Here is a 17,326-nt window from a genome sequence, read left to right as displayed (position 1 = left end):
AAGTTGCCTTTGCCTAAAGCTTCTCACAGTATGTTGATGTCAACTCGGAAGAGAAAAAGACAATGATAGGCAGAAAGAAACTTGAGGTCCAGGTGCGGTGGCTCACGCCTGTAATCCCAGCACTTTGGGAGGCCAAGGCGGGCAGATCACAAGGTCAAGAGATCGAGACCATCCTGGCCAACATGGTGAAACCCCATCTCTACTAAAAATACAAAAAATTAGCTGGGCGTGGTGGCACATATCTGTAGTCCCAGCTACTGGGGAGGCTGAGACAGGAGGATCACTTGAACCTGGGAGGCAGAGGTTGCAGTGAGCTGAGATCGTGCTACTGCACTCCACCCTGGTGACAGAACAAGACTCAGTCTCAAAAAAAAAAAAAAAAAAGAAAGAAAGAAACTCGAGAACACGTTAGGTTCTGTCAGGAAAACCTCAAGGTGGTGATGCCACCAAGCTTAGGCTCCACCCAGGGCTGAGGGCCATCTGTTGTAGAAATGGCCTATCTTTTCTGTGAGGGGAAGGGGCCTGTGCAACTTGGGAGCTTTGTTTTGGCCTTCTGTTCGGGGATCTTGTTGAAACGCGCTATGTTCCTTCATGTACAATTTCTTTTAAAAGGACCTCATGTGCTTTATCATGAAGCTGGCATCTCATGGGCCTGCAATGGACCATCTCCATGCCCGCGCCTCTCCCACGTGAGGGGCAAAGTGCCACCTGGCTATCCTGGAACAGGCAGGCGGGCCTAGTTTCGGTTCATTTAGGAGCCTGAAGTATTCATAAAAACTGGGCACAGAAATGTTTTAACTTCAAGGAGTATCAGCATCCACATACCCAAGGGCTTCTCAGCCATGTGTGAAAAAGCATCCCCGTTTCCAATTCCTTGCAATATACTGTGAAGGCATCTGAAAATTCCTCTACACACAAAGAAGCTGTGCCTTTAGGATATAGCACGGAGATGTTGACTACTGAAGAAGTTGTCATTTAGACTAGAGACTTCTGGAGGACAGGGATTGTGTTTTAATAAAAAGAAGACATGAGAAAGTGGATAAACCCTACACTTAGTGAAGAGGAAGATGCATCTCCAGGGAAGTGGCCACGCTACTACCCCTTTAAATGTAACAGAAGAAAGAAAGGGCCTACGATATGGGTAGAAGAAAAGAAACTCAGGTGAGCAAATGGCATGGGACCTCTATCCTTTACCCAGTGTAGAGGGTTAAAAAGGAAATAATGTCAAATATAATCCCAGGGGTTACATATTACTATGGGACTCAAGATGTTTTCTCTTGGGCTCTAAAGAAGGTACCAAGTCTGACAATCCAAACGTGACTGTTTCACTCAATTCTGTTGTCCTAAGGTAAAGATATAAAGGCTTCCGTTACCAGTTGGCTGGAAAAGCAGGAATGTGAAAGAGCCATGAGAAGATCTCAGGAAATATTTTCCAGAAGAAGCTTTTGGAGTTTACAATGACCAAAGTAATATATGGAAACTCCCACGTCAAGTTAGTTAAAAAAAAAAAAAAAAAATACTAGTTAAGTTGCTACCACATTCAAATCCATAAAAGCTTCAGTGCTGCGGTTCTTAGTCCCAGTGTTCCCTAGCGCATAAAAGGAAGGCGTGAGTGTGAGTGTGTGTGTTCACACCCATGTGTAATGAGCCATTGTAATAGGAATCTAAGTACCTCTTACAAGAGATAAAGTTCCTAGAGCCCTAAATCCAGATCTCTAAACCTCAAATCGTCTCAGGAGTTCCCTTATTATACCAAACCATCTTCCAAATTTAAAACTGAGCTAAAGTCATTTCGAGTGCCTAACAGCCCTTCTGAAACCGAGAAAGTATGTCACAAAAAGCCTCGAGCAATACTTTCTCTAAACGACTCCCAGGCAAGTCAAACACGGTATTCTTTTGAAGCTATCACAGTCTGCCTTGTACCTTTGTAGAGATTTCACCCTGCACAACTCCAGGGGGCACCATTCACATAGACCCCAGTGTAAATGACATACTCTAGAGTTGTGCAGTGCACGCCCTGCACAGCTGTACATGAAGGCCCTACTATGACCCAAAATGTCTATTGGGGATATGATCTCTATAGAGAAGCTGAATTCCGCTCTGTGGTATCATTCTAGATTACTCAAAGAATTGGGTCTGTAGCAGGTAGAAGCTCAAGATGAACTCTAAGAACTTCTGACCCGAAACCAGGAGAGCAGCTGTCCTGAAATGATATGGTTGTGTACGTGGAGGCTATGGAGCCTGCCTGCTACTGGAAATCTCCACCTCAGGGTCAGGTGGGGGTGAACAGCAAGCCTGTGGGAGAGCATTCACTTTCTCATCCTCTTCCTTTCAGCTCCAGAAGAAAGGCCTCCCCACTGCACACATGCTGGGGACAAACAGAAAGGTCCCAAGCAGTGGAGACCCCGTGCAAGCCCATCTGTCGGCGACAAGGGCTCTCAGCAGAGCACACGCGCCATCCCAGAGGTGCCAGCACTCCTTCCTGATTCAACTCCCAGGAGGAGCACAGTCTAGCGCTGCCAGCTAAGGGGGCAGGGCCTCGAGAAAGATGGCCAGGGGCACCTCCCTGTTCCCTCATCTACATGGCAAGCACGGGTTTAAAAGTATGAGAAGAAAGAGGAAGGAGGCCTGAAATTACTCATCAGAGCAGGCAGAAGCAGCTCTTCCTCAGGATCACATAGGCCGGCAGATGTTTGCGATTTCCTGGCGGATGCTAAGTTCTGAGGGAGTAAAGATATCCGACTTAACTCTGAATCCCTGTAATAACTTGTGCACAGTAACTGCACATTTCCCAGCATCTCCTGCAGTTAGGTTGGGTCACATGACTAGCTCTGGCCAATGGGTGATGGGAGTAAGTGACCCATGACACTTCCAGGCCAAGGCAGTTAAGAGCTGTGTGTCCCCAGCCCCTGCCACAGAAGCCTCAAAGGCCATGATATGTTTCACTCAATTCAGTAATAATTTAACGACCTCGACCCCTATACGTCAAGCTGCTTCACCGCGGATGATGCCAGTGGGAGAGTCAAAAGTAACTGGAAAAGTAACCATCCATGGCTCCAAGACATCGACAGGAAGGGGATGAGAGGCCTGTGCCGGCCTTAAGACAAGTTTTGGTGTTCCCCTAAGAGTGGATGGTGAAATCCCTTCACGGAACCAAATGTCATGAAATAAAGTATCAGGCAAAACAAGAGGCATTTCATCCCTCGAGAGAGGAAAGCGGAGTTACTGGGCAAAATGGAGGATAACCAGCAATGGTGAGAAGTGACAGAAGTCTCCGGAAGACAGCGTGCTCATGGGAGGAGAGGAATCGTGGGGTCACAACCACTGCAATTAGTAAAAACAATCATCCCATGGTGTTTCCTACAACCCAAGAGAGGACTAGGCAGATCCTGTAGCCAACACAGAGCCCAGGAACACACACACCGCATAGCACACTTTCCCTGCCCTTGCTGGGGCCAGAGTCGGTTCATGCATCCTGCCAAAGGCTGACTTCCTCTGGCTGCTTTCAGGGATATTCCCATCATGCTCCTCTCAGGATGAAATAGGCTTCTAACTTCTACTGCACCATGGCACAAAGGAATAGTTTTGTTTTTCCTTCTTAACGGTAAAGGGCCTGCTGAAAGGCCTGGGAGGAATTAAATTCTGTTCCTCCACACCTACCCACTGGTCTTCCCTAGAAGGCCACACCACTGATCACTGCTGAGGAGCCTGCGGAACCTAATCCGGAACATAAGGTCCTTTGGGTGTATCCTAAGAGCCTTGCCTCCTCTAGAAAGGAGACAAGCACCAAATCAACCTCATTGGTCCTGAGCTGGAACACTGGGACTGCAGCCTCCTCTCTCCACCCTGAAGAATGACTGTGAGCTGATCCAACCATCCACACGGGAAGCCCCTCCCTGCAGTTTAGCGATCCAGGAAGATGCTACCAGTCCCCAAAGCGGGCAGATTGGATGGTCCTGAGGCCCACCCTAGTCAAGTGGCAGGTCCTGTTCTCTTTGTCCGTATAGACGCACAACACAGCTCTACAGACTCCAATCCTAACGAAAATGATCCACCTACATAGTTATCCCGCGCGGACCAGCCGGGGTACAGTTGCATATGAAGCTGTCGCTCCTTCCGGGCCAGCTCGTAGTATTTCGCTTGCTCTTCTCTGGACAGTGCATGCCACTGGAGGGGACGTGGGGTACAGATGAGAAAGACATGAACAAAGAGAAAAGCATGAAAGAACATCACACATTACGCCAAGGTCAGGGGATAAATAATGCTGCCTTTTTGGGTGAGTCCGTCCAGAAATGGTATAATCTGTACATACTGACCGTCGGCTGGGTCCTGGCACTAACAGGAATGTTTAGACAAAACTTGATTTGTTATCTATGTCATTCTGTCATTTGCTCACTCGCTCGGGTAGGGGAAGAGCATGGCTGTGGCTGTTCTGAACGCTGAGTGCAGAATAACTAGTCCTGACTCAGTGAAGGCCATTCAAGGATTCAGAATGTGGCTGAAGGGCAAGAATTCTCCAAAGAAATGGGGACAGAGACATTCTGCCACCTGACCTGCTGCACTCTGGTCCCTCACCACCCGCCCCCCGCTTCTCCCTGAGAAGGGCGTCACCTACCCTCCGCCCAAGGATCTGGTTGATGGCCGCGCTTTCTTTCAACGTGCACTCAGCTACGACCTTTGCTCTCATTTCCTTCATATACAACATGAATGCATTAAGAGGTTTCTTTATGTGGGGCTTCTTCTTTTCTTCTTCCTTTTTGGAGTCCTGATGCTTTCTGGAGATAGACAAAACAGACGCAACCCAATAAACAAGGTCGTGGTCCAACTTCCTCCATGGCAGGGAACGTATCTCCTTGTCTCATAACCCCCAAGCCTAGCAGTTTTGGATTAAAAAGCATGCTTTTAGTTCTTCTGCACCCCGGAAAATGGAACAAAAATAGCTTGGGGAGGGGTTGGGGGAAGAGAGGGATTTTGCAATCACTTCCTCAAGTTTCACAAATATACAATTTTCCCAAGCCAGAGGGGAAAGCACATGGTTGCTGTCTTCACCTCGGCAGGGTTTTCTCCTGCTTGCAGAACAAAGCTCTAAATGTTCAATGATGCGGTTAGGGGGCAGGGAAGTGGTTGCAAATCCCAGTGTATCCAAGTACACACACAAAAAACAGTTCTGTTCTAACCCACGGTGGTACAGTGAGATTCTGCCACTGTGCACTCTCTCTCTCTTTGTAAGGGAGTGAAGAGCCCACACAGGCTGGGTATTGGCTGCAGTCAAACCAAACGAGGCCAACCTTAGGCAGAAAGCCACCACCCAGCAGCTGCAACAGGCTTGCAGAACACTGCGGCTACGAAGAAGGTGAGAAAAACAGCAACACTTACGAACTATGGAGTGAGCCGACATCACTCTGGGACGATTCCTGTTTGACTGTTGGTGTGACTATGGCCGGATGCGGAATGCCCGTCGTGTGTAGCGTATGATGTGGTGGGACCATATGGGGAGGGAACCTAGAAGACAGAAAGCTGTGTAAATCGTCAGAATCAAAATGAATGAATGAGGAGGGATGTGTACACACAATTAAAAAGAAAAAAAAAAACAGCACGTAACACTCACATGAAAGCAACCCAAGGCATATGAAACCTGTCAGCATTAATTAGCGATAAATTAAACATAATGATTCTCATAATGTCATTAAAGCCAATTCATTATTGCTACTGACATAAGACATTATGATTTTTAACATCTTTAGCAAAAGACAAATTCAACTGACGTACTTGGGCGGAAAAGTGGGCTTGGACTACCTGCCAGAAATCGCACGTCCACTTGTTTTTTGAGGCATTATTAGTGGCATCTAAGAAGACAATTTCCTAAGTCCTAATCAGCTCTAAAATGAAAGGTGAAATCTTTTGTTGTATATTGACAGCTAAATAAAATATTAACGTGGTTGAAATATACATACATTTTTGACAATGCTGTGCAAGCCTCATTAGGCCTCATCCTGTTGATGAAGTGCAATACAATTTTTATTTTTCTTTTGTGCTGTGTCCCATCATTTGACAGGAATGGGAGAGAGTGAGGCAGGAAGACAGGGAAAATTCAAATAGTTCCTATTTGGTTCATATCATAAGTCATGGACATTTTAAATAAGTTTCTATCCCTTTATGGAAAGATGCAAAAAAAAAAAGGAAAGGAAAGGTGCACACACACACAATAAACCTTTGATTCTGATTTGTATGCCCTTTCTCCTCTAAAATTTAGGATTCCTATATCACTTTTACTTCATATGTTGTCTAGGCATCATTAAGAAGTCTTCTAAATGATTATCAAAATTATAAATGAAAGATACAGTTTGTGTTTTCTCCTCTCATGCTGCTCATTTTTTGGACAGTTCTCTAAGGCACATTTTAGGACCTGAATTGGCATTTCCCAACCAAGTACATTAGCCAGGACAGAAAGAGCTAATCTCAACCTACTCTTGGCCCATCTGCAGACTGACAACTGGATCAAACACCTTTCTCATTTTCAATTTTGCGTGGTGTCACCATGATTTGTACTGGGTTGGAAGACTCACCCCTCTTCAAGCAACATATCCTACTATAGAAAAAATAGTGAGGGACAGAAAGGGCAGAATCCCAAAAGTAAACAATATGGCAGCCTCCTGCTCCAACCTGGCAAGGTGATTCAAGTGAGCAGATGGGAAGCTGTTCAGATGAAGATCATGGCAACTGTTGCTTTCTTAATAAGTCCAAACCAAAGCAGTCCAATGTACCATCCAAGGAATAACAATCTGCTCTTTACAAAGCCAATTCTGGTGGGAACTAGAGGGCCTAATGAGGATCGATCACGACAATTCTTCCAAAATGATTCTGTATGTATTTACAAAGTTTTTTCCAGAAGCGGGCTAGAGATAGTTTCCATTCAGCCAAAATAAGGTAACAAACATTAATTTGAAAAATAATAAAATGATTAAAGTACTAACTGAATCTACACAGATCAACAGAGGAAGGAAAGTTAATGCTGATTCTTGAAGAAGGCCCAAGCCACAGTAGACATTTCACTCAAAAATCCCACGCTGACGTGGCCTTTCCTGCCACTGCCTTTACAAATTTAAGCCAGTAGTGAAGACTGCATGACATGATTTTAAAAATAACAACAATACAAGTCCTTCGAATGTATCAAAAAAAGAGAGAGAGAAGGAAAATGTAAGGAAACAAACATGCTAACAACCTTCATCTTCATCCCCTTCCTCTCAAAATAATGTGAAAAACAAAAAAAGCAAAACCCCTTGGGAGACACTTGGGCTCCAAGTGACACCCTGTTCCTTCCCACTGCTCGAAGGCCTCAGAGGAAACAGAAGTTAAGAACATGTGTTCTTGGAAGCCCTTGGGTGAAGTGGTGGGTGGCAGCTTTTACTGTGAATTTTGAAGGCCTGACATTCCTCAAATACATATGTTCCCTTCCTGCAGAATGAGAATATGTGTACAGACGTGAGAGGGAGAGGGAGGGGGAGAGAGAAAAACACTGCATGTGTGAGTGTGTGTGTGTACGTGTGTGTACATACACCAAATACCACGGGAAGGCACCACAATCTGAGTACATTTTGGGGTGCAGACAAACTTCTAATGCAGCCATGAAGAAGGCACATTTCTAAGTTCCCATACCTACGCGTATATTCCCATATCTGAAAAATGTTCAGCAAAGAAAGAGACCATGTGTGAACATGGATGTGGGCTGTATACACATACCTTCGCTTAAGAAATTCCTTTCTGCAGACTACTATTTCATGAAATGCAATAAACACCCTAAAAATTCTAAGCAGCTCATTATATACCCCCGTCTGCTTTCATGGCTCCAAGCCAGAATATAATGATGAACCTTAACTTGTTAAGAACAACTAATTTTTGTTTCTGGCTGTCTCAGGGGCTTCTCTCTTACTCACTCTCACTTTACTTCACTGTTGACACGTTTCTGTTAACCGGATGTCATCTGCCGGCCTTGATTTTATGCACAAGCAGTAGGATGCATTTTCCTGTGCAACAATCCTGCTTTGAGTTGCATTAGGTTTGTCATTATTCTCTCATTTTCCCCCTTGCACTTGTAACATTTCATCTCTTCCTGCCTTATTTTTTGTGAGCCACGGTGCACCCACATTATGGTTTATACATGATCTCGCTCCCTTTGAAGCCGGCAGATTTCAGAGCCGGCTCTCGTCAGGAGAAGAGCCTTGCACCAATTTAGCAGGCTGAGGGCCCGGAGCTCCAACATCTCAATCTAAAGGGGGTCACAGGGTGGCACAAGTGAGTGTCAGCAAGAGCTGTTTAATTGCCAATCTAGGCTTCTCCATGGTGTTTAAAGTATAATGACCCATCACTTAATTCTGAGAAGTCCTGGCCCCACTGCTGAATAGAATGAATATCAAAGGGTGTTCTGGAACAGGGCAAGCTGCCTACATTTGCTATAACTGCCATAAGTATAATAGACCTATACTTCTGTCGCCCCATTATCACAATAATGTATTTAATTTGCTGTATATGCTTTTTAACTAGCTATCTTTCATTTGGCCTACCTGGGGAGTCGGCCGCCTCTCCCCGCACCTTGAGGCCCTAACCTTTCTTCCTGACGTTCCCTGCCTTTCCTCCACCCCCATGCCCACCTATAATTCATCGACTAACCTCCTAATGATAATTCAATCGATCAGCTTAACCCCAATCCCTATCCTACAATTACTTTACCACTGTTAACCTCCAGAACGCACCAAATAAACAAACATGAAAAATAACCAGGTGTAATATACAAATGCTGGGAAGGTGGGAAGATGAGCTGTGGAGTATAAGCTGCTACACTAATAGAATGACATGTAGCCGTGGTCCCTGGGTGCTCTCCACCTGGGAGACCCCCTACTCATTCCCATGCTTTGCGAGGCTGTGATGACACTATTTAATAAGTGTTACGCCTCCTCTTCTCTCTAGGCCAGAGAACACACGAGCGTTTTCCTACCTAACTAATACTGGCATGGATTTTGAAATTTTGATGATATATCGCAGGTAGAAAATGGATCTCTTCAACTATGATATCCACGGCATAGTTACCGATGCTAGATATGCCACGGTTTGTTTTTCTTAATGAATGTAACTCTCTATCACTGCTAAAGTTACTGTTTTGTAAGTAGGAAAAGCAGCATCTTGACCTGTCTTTCCAGGCCCTTCTCTGGTCTTGGCTTCCCATGTTGGCCACAGGGACTGGGGAAAGAAGCTGGGGACAGCACCCCTGCCATGTAACGCATGCTAATTTCATTATGTGCCATCATCAGAATGGGTTGGTGATTTCAGACCATCAGCAAAGTCTAAACCTCCACCGATTTAATTAACTTGACTGAAAATCAGATGAACAGAAAATAAAACTATCATTAGAAACAATTAGCGACTAAAACATACTGCTGCCAACCAGTTTGTAAATAAACTAGCAGTCACTGAAAAATTAGCCAGAATTAATCAGAGGGAGGAAAAGAAGAACATGGGGATAGGAATGTATCTTGTAAATATGTTTCTACGCTGAAATATAAATATATATGAATGTACAGCACACACACACATGTTTTTTTTTAACTTTCAAAGACTTAGAGCTGCACAGACCACTATGATATGCACCAGCCACGTGTGGCTATTGAATATTTGAAATGTGGCCAGTCTAAACTGAGAAGTGCTGTGCGTATAAGATACACATCAGATTTTGTACCAAAGCTCAGCACAAAAAAGAACATAACATCTTATTAATAGTTGTTGTCCAGGAATAGCATGTTAAAATGATAATATTTTGGCTATATTGCATTGAATAAAAACATGTCATTAAAAATAACTTTATCTTTTTTTTAAAAAAAAAAAAACAAAAACTTTTTTAAAAACACGGCTACTACGAAATTTAAAATTCCCTCTGTGGCTCACACTATATTTCTATTGGACAGTGCTACCTTCGAGGGGAGGAGGCGGATGCTTTCTTGTTGACTTGCAATCAGAGTCTGAGCTTTGAGAACACCAGTAATCTTTTTTCGAACTCTTCTTGGTATAATAATAAAACTACCTTCACCGCTACCTTTCTTGCTGAGGACAGGACAACAGAGAAATGGCATTTTTAAAAGCTTCTGTCCTGTTTCTCCCTTACCTTCTTAATTCATTAAAATACATTGTTCAACTGAGTGACTCAAAAATTTTACCCAGAAAGACATCATTTACCTTGGAATTTCAGGGCAATTTTTCAGGATTTTCTGGGAGTACAGCCTAATGCCACATTGGCTTTACACTAATAGAACTACATGTAGCTGTGGTCCCTGGGTGGCTTGGTGGCCATCTAGAGAACTTCTTGAGAAGTCACACATGGCCTTGGATGAAGGCCCCGGTTCTTGGAACTCACCTGGACATGGAAGCATTGACGGTCAGAGCTGTGGGGTAGGGGTGTCTGAATCCTCCTGTCGTGATTGGGTACACTGGTTGACCTTGCCTACAAAGAAGGGGTACAAAGTAAGAGACTTGAAACAAGGGTGGGGGTGGGGACAAGAAAAAGAAGAAAAGGGAAAAGTTCTCTCTGCACAGTAAGCTTTATTCTCATTTGATCAGAACAAAAATCTTGGGGATTGTACAGGAAGGATCAAAGGGAAGAAACACAGAACAATTTGAATGCCATAAATCTGATAGGAATGGCTAATTAAATTTTATAACCTCTGCTTATGTCAATAGAGACCCTCTCCCCAAGCTGAAACTAGGTGTTTTGTTGTAATAATTAAAGGCGAAGTCTCGCTTGCTTTAATGGAGCCATCACACTAATTGAGGGCTACACATCCAAAGGAAAACAATAATGAATGTAAATTTATACCAAAATAAAGTACAGTGAATCAAAGGACTTCAGTTGCGCTTTGGGCCTCTTTCGGTATTTAGATCTCGGTGAGAAAACATTAAATTAACAGAGCTTAATTTGTAGCCTTTTGTCAAATTAACAAGTGTTGACAAGAGTTACCGGGGGGAGAGTCCCCAAGAAGAATTGTGGGTAACCAATAGACAATCACACCTCATTACAATAATTAAAAAATACAGCAACATGCAAAATAGCATCCTCATGAAAGACACACAACTTTTTCTGACAGAGGGTTGTCTGAGTTGGCTATTCCTTTTTATCTAGCCTTCAAATATCTCCCCATCAGCCGAATGGGGCAAATGATCACTGAGAACTATTCGAGGGTTGGCCCCATCTATTTAGAAGAAATGGGTCACAAGCTCATGTTCATGTCTACCGTCCCAATAAAAATAAGAAGAGACAGAGAAACAGAAACTATACCCAGGGTTGGTATTTGGTACAGCTACTACATAATGCAATCTGTTTTTTATTAAAAAAAAAAAAAACAGCATAGAATCTATCTAACTAGAGAAATACGGGTAGAATTGTGGGGTAAGCCACTCCAAAATTTTATCTTCCTTAAGGCTTTGAAAGGCCATCTTCCCTAAGACTCAAACCTGAGTTTTACCAGGATTTATTCCTTTTAGCATTCAATGTATTGTCCTGTGTTGTTCAGAGTACAGATCACTGGTAAGGAGAAATACATCCACAGAAACAATCACGAAACACATATTACACACATGCTCATGCAAAAATATACATACACACAACCTGCCACAGTATGCTAATGCATCAAAGGCCTTTCTACTCTGAATTTAAAACACAGTTTTTTTAAGTTGCAAAAGTTAGTCAAATAATCTGGGCACTGCCAGGAGCTAGGATTGATGCTTACGAAGGCCCCACATGCTGCAGTGACGGTTCCAAATGCCCCATTCCCACCGTTCACAGTTAGGTAAAACATTCAACGTGCAAAGACTCTCAGAGAGATGCTGATTCAGTCCCATGGAGCTTCTCAACAGACAAAACTTTCCACTGTTGTTGTCAACCTTGGGAGTAATGTTCAGGATGAGGTGGGGGGTCCTGGAATCATACAAGAACATGCCCTAATCCCAACCCTGGATTTCAAAACAAGGCCGTTCTTGTTCCTGCTTCTGTGCCCCAAAATATGTAACACCTAAAATGGAGGACTCGACAGCCTCAACCCAATGACATGACTGCAGTTTGGGCAGCCAACAGCAGAAGGGTCATGACCAGCTTCATTGGGTGGAAGTTCCAGTAGTCTTCTGCAATTCCCAAAGGAACTGCAGGGCACCTCTGTCCACAGAGCCTCTGGGGACCATGGTCGCGGAATGCTAAGTGCCAGTAACATAAGCCACCTGAATGGCTGTGGATTTGCCTGTATTCCCACAGGACACCTCAGCAACACCTTTTCTGTGCCCTCCCGCAGCCCCCTCCCCAACCCTGGCTTCTAACACACACACATACACACACACACACACACACACACACACACACACACAGACACACACACAGAATAAATAATAAACATGCCCATGTAAGAAACAAAAAGGAAATTAAAAAATGGAACTCCTTACTGTGGTACTAACCATCCTAGCGGATGGGGGATTTGTCCTACGGTGCCAGGCGATAGTGGGTAATACGGGGATATATCTGGAGGGTGCGGAGGCCGTGGGATTCCTGAGGGAAGAAGCAGCATTTTAGGTACAAAGGAGGGAGAGAAGGAAAGAGCAATCCATTAGGGGATGGGAACAGGGAAAGGAGGAAGAGACGCATCTCTTCTGGAATCCTAGCACAAGGTTCATTCATGATTATAAATCCTGAGTTGTTGGTAGGTTTCATCTCATTTTCCCTCAGCCTCAGTTTGAAAAATTAGTTTATCTCCTTCTAAATGGACTGGTATACTGAGTAGACTCAAGATATGCCATCTTGGGTATTTGTGCCTCATGTGACTGGTGTGATTGTTTCAAGTTTAAAAGAAACAACATCAAAAAGGCTCAGCACCTGGTGGAGAATGAAGCAATGGTAATCCCTGTTGCTCTTACAACTCTGGCCCTTCACCCTGCGGAGTTTCATGCCTTACCTGCACAAGAGCTACTCCTCTGATTTCTAACACACTTTTTGAGCTGTGGCATTTGAAAAGTTACTACCCTTGCCTTTTTTCAAAAATGGTGACTCCTCTAAAATGTCTCTGCCTCTATTTGGATGAGCTGGAGAAACTGATCAAATGCCATCTGGCATCTTATCTAAGGCAGAGTCAGAGCTGAACAGACAAGGAGGTGTTGGAGGCTTGTGTACTCCATTCTGGAACTTCATCCGCTAGAGGACAGAGTCGTCTGTGGGGATTAAGCCCACCTGCTGAATGGGCACCGCGTGCGTCGCAGGGGCTAAGAGCTTCACAAGGCACACATGAGCGGATTCTGCAAGTACGTGCCACCGCACATCTGCCAGTTCCACAGGAGCACATCCTGTAGTCCACTCTGACAGAGAGGAATTGATGTATGCCATTGAAGTGGGAGGCAAAAGGCACAATACCACAGAATTAAAACAGAGTAATGGAGGGAACGGGCTGCATGTTCGTGGACGAAAACGACTTCATTTTTTAAAAAATTCATTCAGGAAGCTTTTAATCTGTAAATTAAGTCTCCCTGGGTGACATTTTCATGCAGACATTGCTTTCTCTCTATTACAAAAACCAAACAGATTAGCTGGGCTTGGACCCTACATCGAGCCATTTGCACACTTGAAAGAATGTTCGCAGAGGAAAAGTAAACAGTCCACAGACGTTAATCATATGTTTTACGATAACCATTTAAAAGCTATTCCCTGTACTACCATTATTTAAATGAGACGTTGACGCTGCCATTCACTGGTGGAGCCTGGGGCCGGCTGGAGGAGGCCACCAGGCATCCAAGCGCCAGGCTCAGTCCTGCACCAGCACAAAGGGGCTCAGAGACCAGTAAAACCCAGCTCATGTGTGGCTTCGTTCAGGGGCAGTGAAGGCCGCCTAACCAGGCAGCCTACCTACCCCAACACTACCAATCCCCTCTAACAAAGTGATGTGCAATCACCACTTTAAACCCATCCTTCCAATTACTGAGCTAGGAAGGGGAAATCCTACCAACACACTGGGTAGCCTGAAAGACACACACTAACCTTACCTGTTCTCCCAAGACCACCCCACCAGGCTGCTGGGGCTGCCTGCCTGATTTAGATCTTGTTGGAGGAGAGCTACAAGTAACCCCACCTTCCCTCCCTCTCCCCTTTGGGAAAAAAGCAGTCAATGAACAACTGGGATAAAAAGGGGATGCTGGGCTGGGTGTGGTGGCTCATGCCTGTAATCCCAGCACTTTGGGAGGCCGAGGTGGTCAGGAGTTCGAGACCAGCCTGGCCAGCATGGTGAAAACCTGTCTCTCCTAAAAATACAAAAATTAGCCGGGTATGGTGGCACATGCCTGTAGTCCCAGCTACTTGGGAGGCTCAGGCAGGAGAATTGTTTAAAACTGGGAGGCAGAGGTTGCAGGGAGCCAAAATTGTGCCACGGCACTCCAGCCTGGATGACAGAGCAAGACTCTGTTTAAAAACAACAACAACAACAACAACAAAAAGACGTTGAAAAGCATGGCAACTTTTCTCAGACACCCATTGGTTGTTCTACGAAGAAATGAAGCAACCTGCCTGGACTTCAGTATTCATATCTGTAAAATGGGTTCAACAATACCTAGAATATTGTAGGGGAAAAAGAACCTAAATAAATTAGCAAAGAAAATGCAGAATCCAGTGATGTGGCTTTTTGAGGCTATACCAACAAGTCATTGTCAAGTAGTGACTGGAGCCTCTTAGCCAGTGAGGGAGCCGAGGCTTGGAAAGCCATGCTGTCTCATCTTCCCAGGAAGCTGAGGAGGAACCCAAGAAATGCCTTCAATATGATTCCTGCATCCATGTCTGCCTGAGGCTCTTAGAGTTAAAAGCCACTCCTGAAACATACTGAGGACTCATAGCCAGGTTCCCAAGACAGCCCCTTCAGGGGTACTGGAAGCCATAAAGAGATCTTTAACACTGCAAATGAACTTCTCCAAAGGGAGTGGAAAACCACTGCCACACCAGGCCTCAACCACCCCAAAGAGCTTCCTTTTCAACACCCAGAAAAGCAACAGGGGCCCCCCCACCACCGTTCCCCCAAAGTCCCCTACTGCTCCACCCCTGGGGTTCCTGTGGAGGCCTCAAAGGTTCCCCCAGAACCCCAGGACCAGCACTCTACCTTGGCTCCGTAGCCCACAGCCTACCTGTTTTGGGGTCTACGTCGGCTGGTAAGTGTGGAGGTGGGTTTCCCGGCGTGAAGTGTTCATTGCTGTACGTGATAAGAGGCGTGAGGGGGTGGACATGGTGAGGGTGCTGCACCACTGGCACTTTGTTAGACTGTGGGGAGGAGAACAGAGAAAGACACCGTCAAGCCGGTTCCAGCAGCCCAGGGCTTCAGAGCACCGGGCCCGTGGGTTCCCTTGGCCACAGCCTCTCACCTGGATTTTCTAAGATGCACTCAACTCTGCCCATCCCATACTCCCCCCAGTCCATGTGAAAATAATAGATAGTTGTAAGACAGCTCTCTGGGTGGGTCTGCTTTAGTTTTTATTTCCCCACTAAGCCTGGCTTTTAAAATACCTTCTCAACCCCTACCCCATTATGGAGCCCAAGAGTCTGCACTTTTCCCATTAGCAGGTGAGTCAGAAGTGGAGACTTCAATCTCCCATGCCTACTGCGTTTCCACATGTTGTGGGGACCTCCTACCCCAAGGCCCCACCTCCAGGAGGCACGCAGGCTGCACAGGGGACCATCTAGGAAAACCACCACTTACAAGAAACTGGCAGGGCCCAAATCCCACCCAGCCAGCCTCCTTAGCCACCCCCCGACAGCTCCTATCCCCTCCCTGCCCTTAGAAACAGCGGGCATGCTACAATCCTTCACAGACAGCATGGATGCAAAACCCCACTCACGGTTTGGGTGGGAGTGTGAACTTTACCAGAAAGCTCTAAACTGCCTGACAAGCACCTGCATATTTTATGCAGATTACAGCAGCCCTGATTCATTAGGAATTTCATTAGAAAGTCATCCGGGAACGCTAATACATTAACTGGATGATGACGAATTGGGCTAATAAAAGGTATGCATTTTAGAAATGGGCAGTTCTAAAAAACAAAGTACAGGCATTTTTGTGTTTGGGAAGGGTGGGTCAGTGGAGAGAAGCAGAGGGCAGGGTGGGGGGAAGAAAAGCATTTTAAAAATGTTTCTAGTTGCCATGCCCAGGCTTTCCCAAATTATTCTCCTCCTCTTTCCCCCACCTCCCGCTCAGTCCACCCCTCCCCACTCCACTACTCTGTGCTATAACTTAGCCCAGGAAGATCACAAAGAAAAAATTAAGCTGAAACAAGCGAACTACTGGGCCATTTACTGAGAGTAATCCAATTGCAAAAAACCCTATTCCCCATAGAGGATTTTCGCTAAAATCCTACAACAGGGACATTTAACCAGATTAGGTACCAGCGAAGATAAAGAGGCAAGTATTAGATGATGAATGGATTAGAGTCAAGTTTCATTTCAGAACGTGTCTTCATTTCCTTTTATTACTTTTAGGAAGGCACAACTTGCATTAACATCAAGGAAAAGGAATTGCATTAAAAGAAAAGAAGGAAGGTCCTAGTGCTGCCCACTAGTGCCTGTTGAGCTGAGGGATCACTAAGCAGTTAGTTCTCTTTACTATTTCTCTTCTTGTCCTTTTTTTTTTTTTTTTTTTAAATGGGTGAGGAAGGAATGTAATATAAGAACAGCATTTCTTACCACAGGTAATTGAGGGGAAAGTGTCTTTTAAAAAGTGCTTTTAACTTTTTTGTGGTTATGTGTGGAAAGAAAAATAAGGCATTCTCTCTAGATGCCCCAGAAAAAAACTACAGAAAAAGAAGTCAACGTTTCCAACAGCCTGGTTTACCAATTCCTATGTATAACTGGACTCTTGGAGAAAGGGGCTAGCAGGTTGCTTACAGGAGCTTTGTGTTATGTGCTACCAATTTTGCATCAAAGCAAGTAAGCTAAAAGCCACCAAAGCAGATGGAGCTTTGGAAACCAGCAACACTTCCATAAAAGGGGCAGCCATGAAGGGCGGGGCAGGCCATGGCCAGGGTGAAGGGCTGCTGCCCACAGCCAGTGCTGGGCACCTCAAGGACAGGCACTAAGGATTCCTTAAGAGGAAGATTTGCTCAGGACAACTTGAGAAATAAGGAACAAGGAAGCTCCCACTGTGTGCTGAGGTGGAGAAGGAAAAGGGAAAAGGAGAGGAAGGGAGGGAAAGAGACAGACACGGACAAAGTGGAGACTGTTAGGAGGCAGGGCAAATGACTGTTGCTGCCTTCCAGAAGTTTTCTCTTTGGTTGGAAA

General features: G+C 45.0%; 1 protein-coding gene across 17 annotated transcripts in view; it reads right to left on the bottom strand.

Annotated features, from left to right (window-relative positions):
- TCF7L2 (transcription factor 7 like 2) overlaps window positions 1–17,326 on the bottom strand; it is a 217,432-nt gene that overhangs the window by 11,179 nt on the left and 188,927 nt on the right. For 14 of the 17 annotated variants that reach the window (NM_001367943.1, NM_001363501.2, NM_001146274.2 and 11 more), the window contains 6 exons: window positions 15,184–15,316; window positions 12,475–12,577; window positions 10,403–10,489; window positions 5,377–5,502; window positions 4,616–4,775; window positions 4,060–4,167 (listed from right to left, as the gene is read on the bottom strand). In NM_001367943.1, the coding sequence (NP_001354872.1) occupies window positions 4,060–4,167; window positions 4,616–4,775; window positions 5,377–5,502; window positions 10,403–10,489; window positions 12,475–12,577; window positions 15,184–15,316 (717 nt within the window). Of the gene's footprint in view, window positions 1–4,059; window positions 4,168–4,615; window positions 4,776–5,376; window positions 5,518–10,402; window positions 10,490–12,474; window positions 12,578–15,183; window positions 15,317–17,326 lie in introns of all 17 variants that reach the window. The other 3 variants (NM_001198527.2, NM_001146284.2, NM_001198525.2) reach the window with 2 other exon arrangements.

Source organism: Homo sapiens, chromosome 10, assembly GCF_000001405.40.
Source record: "Homo sapiens chromosome 10, GRCh38.p14 Primary Assembly".
NCBI classification, from domain to species: Eukaryota; Metazoa; Chordata; class Mammalia; order Primates; family Hominidae; genus Homo; species Homo sapiens.
The sequence above is the reverse complement of the archived record's forward strand: the minus strand, read 5'-3'. Positions and strand labels throughout refer to the sequence as shown.